The sequence below is a fragment of the Homo sapiens genome, chromosome 10, assembly GCF_000001405.40.
Source record: "Homo sapiens chromosome 10, GRCh38.p14 Primary Assembly".
In the NCBI taxonomy this organism is placed as follows: Eukaryota; Metazoa; Chordata; class Mammalia; order Primates; family Hominidae; genus Homo; species Homo sapiens.
In genome coordinates this window covers 63,708,113-63,715,103 of record NC_000010.11, presented here as the reverse complement: position 1 = coordinate 63,715,103, position 6,991 = coordinate 63,708,113, and the positions used below count along the sequence as shown (strand labels likewise).

General features: G+C 44.7%; 1 annotated feature.

Moving 5' to 3' along the window:
- Nucleotides 1,150–1,828: an enhancer, noted in NCBI's record as "OCT4-NANOG-H3K27ac-H3K4me1 hESC enhancer chr10:65473036-65473714 (GRCh37/hg19 assembly coordinates)". NCBI's record gives its function as "activates a minimal SCP1, AML or CMV promoter by ChIP-STARR-seq in naive and primed H9 embryonic stem cells {active_cell/tissue: H9 hESC(naive and primed)}" and the evidence as "EXISTENCE:reporter gene assay evidence [ECO:0000049][PMID:30033119]".

The window sequence follows — 6,991 nt, the reverse complement described above, 5'->3', positions numbered from 1 at the left end:
TACTCATATCAATTTTCCATATTCAATTTTATACTAAAATGATACTTTCATTTAATATGTTAATCATAACATAAAAGGCTGCACTTACCACAGAATATAGAAATATGAAGTTTAAATATATATTATATTATAGCCTGCTTTTCCCACAAGGCTAATAGCATGAAATCAATTTTTAATATGGAGGTAGAAATTATAAATTATTTTTAATGAACAAAAGAACAGAATCATTAACTCCCCAGCCATGACTTGATTTGGAAGTTGATTAGGGATCAAGTTATCTTCCTGAAACCTACCCTCCAGTGTAAAATTTCTATATTGAAAAATATGATGAACAACCTATTAAGGTTCTGCTTTTTATGTCTCTAGTACTTTGCTGCAGCTTACAACACACTTTTAAACACATAGGTTTTCTCAACAGTTCTGAGACAGAGAAGACCTTATCTTCTTAAGGTCCACGAAGACCTGGCAAACTAATCTTCAAGATGAATTCAGCCCACAGATCTATTTATCTATTTTGTGAAGCACACAGAGTTTTTCTTAATTCATTGCCAATATTTAAAAGTTTAGCACTTTCACACTATAAAAAAGAACTGGGCCAGGCACGGTGGCTCATGCCTGTAATCCCAGCACTCTGGGAAGCTGAGGTGGGTGGATCACTTGAGGTCGGGATTTCGAGACCAGCCTGGCTAACATGGTGAAACCCCATCTCTACTAAAAATGCAAAAAAGTAGCCAGGCATGGTGGCGCATGCCTATAATACCAGTTACTTGGGAGACTGAGGCAGGAGAATAGCTTGAACCCAGGAGGCGGAGGTTGCAGTGAGCCGAGATCGCACCAGTGCACTCTAGCCTGGGAGAAAGAGTGAGACTCCATCTCAAAAAAAAAAAAAAAAAAAAAAAAACACCACACGAAGAACTGGCTGTCCCAGTGACCCACATTCCCAGTGGCAACAACTGACTTGAGTCAACTTGGGTAGAGGATGCCCCTTTTTGGGAAGACTCTTTCTCTTCAGTTTGCCACAATCCCCACCATTCTCTTATACTCCCTAAAACTGAGATACAAAGTCAGTTGCCACTTACCATGTTTTACTGGGCCTCCCTCCCTTATAACGTGACTGCTTGGCCCGTGAGGTGTATGGGAAAACAGGCCAGGTCCTTCCAGTCACCCCAGGAACAGTGAGGATGCATTACTCATAGATGAGGCTTAGGGTATTTGCTGGAAAAGCATGCATCTGAGTTTGGAGATAACTTGGAAGGTTAAATACGGAAAAGACTTTCAAAGATCATCTCATTCAAACTCTTCATTGTAGAAGAGGAAACTGAGGTCCCAGAGGCTGAGTGACTTGTATCACATCACACAGTGAATTTACAGAAAATCCCAGCTTAAAGCCCAAGTCTCTTAACTGCTGGCTCCTATCACTGTAATAACAGAAATGGGAAAAAGAAACAACTAGAGAGAAAGGAAGGAGAGTGGGGACACAATCTCCCTTCCCCCTCTCCCAGGCTGTGGCAGGCAGCCAACTGGAGCTTTCTGCATATTTAATTTAAATCTTTGTCTGCCCTGGCAAGGACAAAGTACAATCTGTTTTATGTAAAAAGTCTTCCCTGAGGAAAGCCTCGGCCTCCAGCTGCGAAACTGATTGATGTTCTTCAAGTCCCCAGGAAGCTCTGCTGGGATCCGAGGTTGCGGTTTCCAAAAAAAGAGTCTGTGAAAAGGAAGCACTGAAAACAACAACAACAAAATTTCCTTTATTGTGTTTCTCTCAACCTGGGAGAATTAGACTAAAACAAGGAGGGGGGTGTTGGGACATGCAAATACAGACTGTATTTTAAAAGCAGATTTCAGAGTCCCAGATGGGAGGGGTTTGGGATGGCAAGCTGCTGCCAGAGGGAGACTGGAGTCTTGTCTAGAAGCTTTATTTGCATAGCAAGCACTTTGCTTTTACTTAGATTGCCTGTTCCAATCAATAAAGCTACTAAAATGTTCTGAAGATGCTTTATCCACACTTGAGGAAAGACTGAAAGCATCAATATCCAATAGTGTCACTAGTGATGTTTTATTTGGAATGTTTGGGAAATGTTCTAATAGAGATTAAAATCCATCTTATTTTGTGGGTTTCCTGATACTGTATTTTGGAGAACCAGATCTGGGGTGGCATTTCTTGCAAAACCAAAGCCAGTTTTGAAATCCAGTCTCAGAGTCATCTCTGAATGTTTCTGGATTGTTACAGCCAGGGCATCTCCTGCCAGATTTCTGCTCCATCCCATATGACATCTACTTTAACCTGAGGCCTTATGCACAGATAGCAACACTGAAGTGCCCCCAGAAGACCCAAAGAGGGCAAGACCACTACAAAAGTTTTGAGGATGATGGAAGTTTCACCCCGGAGGACTGGTTTTTCCCACTGGTCCCTGGCCCTGCCTGGGGCAGCCCGTGTATCAGGCTGGAAGGAGGGCATGGGTGACAGTGCAAGGTTCTGCCTTCACCTTCTGGCTCAGCAGCCAAACTTCAGTGTGAAGCCAGAACAAAGCTATTGCCAGGTCAGGGCTAAGGAGCTCGAGCCTGTCTTGGGGTGGAGCCAGGACCCAGAAACCACTGCCATGAGCCACCAGCTGGCTCTGATCCCAGGAACATGTGCAGCTGCTGCACAGGCCAGACTAGTCCTGAAGACTGTCACTGTGCCAGCCCCTCCATTAGGCCTCCCGGTCTCTGCTCTCATCAGGCTCACACCCAATGCCCCGTGTGTACTTTGGCATCTGCCTGCCTTTAGATGTCCTGGGATGACTGAATAAACCTTCAGAAAAGCCATGTGACCTGCTGATTCTTATCTTTCTGGACATCACACCTTTGTTCTAAAACTCCTTAGAGGTCAAAGTGTATAGATCCAAATCTCTGAAGTTCCTTGGTATGATGAAAATGAAGGAATAAACAATTTCCCTTAACTCTGTGTGGTCTAATTTAAGGGCCTTTCATTAGTACTCACAGGAAAAACACAGGCACCATGGCAGCGGAAACAGAAATCCCTCCCCACATGCCCTGATGGTGGGGGCAAAACCCATGAATGGCCACATTCACAGCTGTTTCTAGAAGTGCTTCCTGGTATCGTGGGCATTAAGCTTCAGTAATAAAGTTAACAGCAATACAGTCATACTGGAAAAAGGTCAAAAGGAGGAAAACCTTTATTTAAAATATTATGCTGTTCTTTTTACAAACTAGGTCATCTTCTGTATCAGTAGCTATTCCTCAAGGCATTCGGTCCCACTGACCCTTTAAGAACTTATTTTAAAAAATCGGGCTGCTTCTTACCCCAATTTTGTTTCTTCCCAAATGTGTTAGGCACTCTCCAACCTGGATACAAATTCCAGCATTTTGACAAGGTGTACCTAGTCCTCTTCAGATTCTCTTATCACCAGGGAAAGGCCTGTACAACTGCTCAGTAAGCCTTGGCCGTAAGGTATGCTCCCTAATACAGAATAAAGGGCAGGATGCCACAGTGCGGCCAGCAGGCTCAGTCCCATGGAGAGCAGCCCAGTACGGCTTAAGCTGTAAAGACAAGTAAGACAAGGTCTCTGTGCTCAGGAAACTGGTAATCTAGGGGAGGCCGTGGATGTGTTGCTTAACAAGGTGATAAGTGCATGCTAGCAGTGTGAACCAAGTGCCATGGGAACTCTGAGGAAGCAATGATTAATTATGCAGGGTATGGGGATTAAAGATCTGGGAATGTTTTCCAGAGAGAGAAACAGTGGAGCTGAAACAGATGATGAGCAGGCTTTGATCATGACAAAATTTGGGGGACAGAGTGCTCAGCAAGATACATTCCAGGAAGACGCATGGTGCAAAAGTCTTCCAGACACTGAAAGCTTTTGTTACATGAAATGCTTGGAGCACAGCAGGTCATCCAGGACAGTTGGAGTTTACAGTATAAGGTGGAGGGTGACACGGAAAGACCAAATAGTTGGGTTGGGCCAGATGGTGACTCTCGGACAACCAACTCCTTGGACTTTACCCTGAAGGCAGTGGTGAAGCAGATGAAGGATTTTAAGCAACTGGCTGGGTCAAGGGTTTAGTTTGGTGTATGACAAGCAAAGTTGTCTAAAAGGGACTCTGGGAGGTCACTTGGGGTGGCTTGGACAAGCCAAGTGGAACAGGGGCTTCCCCCCTTCTCCCAGTGGGGTGGGCTGCCCTAAATTTAGCTTCCCACAGAACTGGCAGTTTCTTTCCCACCCTACTCATATGAGCTACCACTCTCCACAGTCCTCAAATCTCCAGAACTGGAAAGCTGGCTTTCCCAGACAACTTCTCAGAACATCTAACACATAACTCAGACTGCCTGGTGCCCCAGTACCTATTTCCATCCCCACTGATAAGTTGTTCTGATCCTCTCTCCACATGGAAAGCAATAAGGAGGTAGAGTCCTTCCCCTAAAACATAACTTGCCATATTCTAAAAGATTCATTTTCTTGGATTCATGAAAGGCTGGGAGATTGTAGATGACTCTTTTGCCTGCTGACACTTGCTTTGTATGTTTCTACAATAAAGCCTGTTTCTAAATTCATACCAAGGGGTATTTTGGAACGCCTTCTGATCCTGGTGTTTTCTGACCAGGGTGACTATGAAGGAACCCACATTGTACCAAAGTGGGATGGCCTAGGAATGGAATAAGTCATTTCCCCATTGTTGATTAAGACTCTTTGTGTTGTAACAGAAAATCCAACTAAAACTGGCTTTAAAATTGAAGGGAATTTATTGTTTCACATAATTGTTAGGGTGGGCATAGAGTAGTTAATCCAGTGTTTTAATGATGCTATCAATGGCCCATTTCTCTCTCTCTGTCCTACCTTCACTAGTGTCAGCATTTTTCTTTTTCTTTTTTTTTTTTTTTTTTTTGAGATGGAGTTTCGCTCTTGTTGCCCAGGCTGGAGTGCAATGGCACTATCTCAGCTCACTGCAACCTCCACCTCCTGGATTCAAGTGATTCTCCTGCCTCAGCCTCCCAAGTAGATGGGATTACAGGTGCCCGCCACCACACCCGGCTAATTTTTCTTGTATTTTTAGTAGAGATGGGGTTTCGCCATGTCAGCCAGGCTGTCTCGAACTCCTTACCGCAGGTGATCCGCCTGCTGCAGCCTCCCAATGTGCTGGGATTACAGGCGTGAGCCACGGCGCCCAGCCATGTCAGCTTTTTCCTTTTTTTTTTTTTTTTGAGATGGAGTCTTACTCTGTTGCCCAGGCTATAGTGCAGTGGCATGATCTCGGCTCGCTGCAACCTCCACCTCCTGGGTTCAAGTAATTCTCTGCCTCAGCCTCCCTAGTAGCTGGGATTACAGGCACCCTCCACCACACCTGGCTAATTTTTGTATTTTTAGTAGAGACGGGGTTTCACCATCTTGCCCAGGCTGGTCTTGGACTCCTGACCTCGTGATCCACCGGCCTTGGCCTCCCAAAGTGCTGGGATTACAGGCGTTAAGCCACTGCGCCCAGCCGTGTCAGCCTTTTTTTAAGGCTGACTCTCCCAATGGTTGTAGAAATGCTGACAGTCACAATCAAGTCTCTAATAGTTACATCTGATGGCAAAGAGGGCTTCTAGACCAGCATTCCAGCCAGTGTCCTGAGATTCACCTAAATCGAGTAAGTTTAATTGACATATTTGTTGTTGTTGTTGTTGTTGTTTTGAGACAGGTTCTTACTCTGTCACCCAGGCTGGAGTGCAGTAGTACGATCTCAGCTCACAGTAACCTCCACCTCCCAGACTCAAGCAATCCTCCCACCTCGGCCTCCCAAGTAGCTGGGACCACAGTCACCCGCCACAATGCCTGGCTAATCTTTGTATTTTTTGTAGAGACAAGGTTTCACCATGTTGCCCAGGTTGGTCTCGAACTCCTGAGGTCAAGTGATCTGCCCACCTCGACCTCCCAAAGTTGTGTGATTACAGGTGTAAGCCACCACGCCTGGCCCTTAATTCACACATTTATGCTCACATCAACTCATATATTCATTGAACAAATATTTATGGAATACCTACTACATATTAGCCACTGTTTCAGGTTCTGGGACATTGAAATCACCTTGAATGACTGATTAGCTTAAAGCAATTGGTACCCATCACGAGCGCTAGGAGTGTGTTTAATTTCCCCCAAAGCACATGGACTGTATAGGGATGGAAGTGGATCCTTAGATAAAGACTTCTCTGCTACCAGGAAAGGGGGAGGAGAGAATAGATACTAGTTTGGCATCAAGAACACCTAATACAGGCTTGCTCCTGAAAACGCAGTTCCAGAACCAGCATTGTTGGCATCACCTGGTAATTTACTATAAATACAGAATCTCAGGTAGTGCCCCAAGTCTACTGGATGAGAATCTGCACTTTAACGAGATCCCCCGGTGACCTCTGTAAACATAGAACTTTGAATGCACTCATCTACAGGATAGATGAAAACAGTGTTATGACTGGGGCTGGAAGAGAAGGAAGTTGGAGAACAAAACAGTCTCTGTACAGACACAAGTTGGGATGTGCTGCTCATAACGGTTCTCCAGAGGGAATCGTGCAGCTAGCCCCTCAGTCAGGGATGATTGTCCCAAAGGGAGATGCACCTACTGAGTGAGGCCAATTAGTGGATCATCCTCTGGGAATTTGAAACGTAAATTATGAGAAACAGATACAGAAGGTTGTTGGAGCAGGGTTAGCAGTCAACAGAACCATAGAAGGTCTAGAAGTACCTAATGAGGGGCCCCCAAAGTGCTCTGAGGCTTAGTTATTATGCACCTCCTTTTATTCAACCATCCAATATTCCCTTTTTGGCTTATGTTAGTTAAAAGGGGTTTCTATTGCTTGCCATTAAAACAAACCTTAACTTACATAGCTTTGACTTTATCGGTATAGTTACCTACTGAGGATGAGATTGGTCTGCCTTGAGGAGGTCACCAAAGTTAATACATTTCACCAAACAATGTCGGAGATGCTTTAGTTGCTTTTCTCCTCAGCCTCCAAACT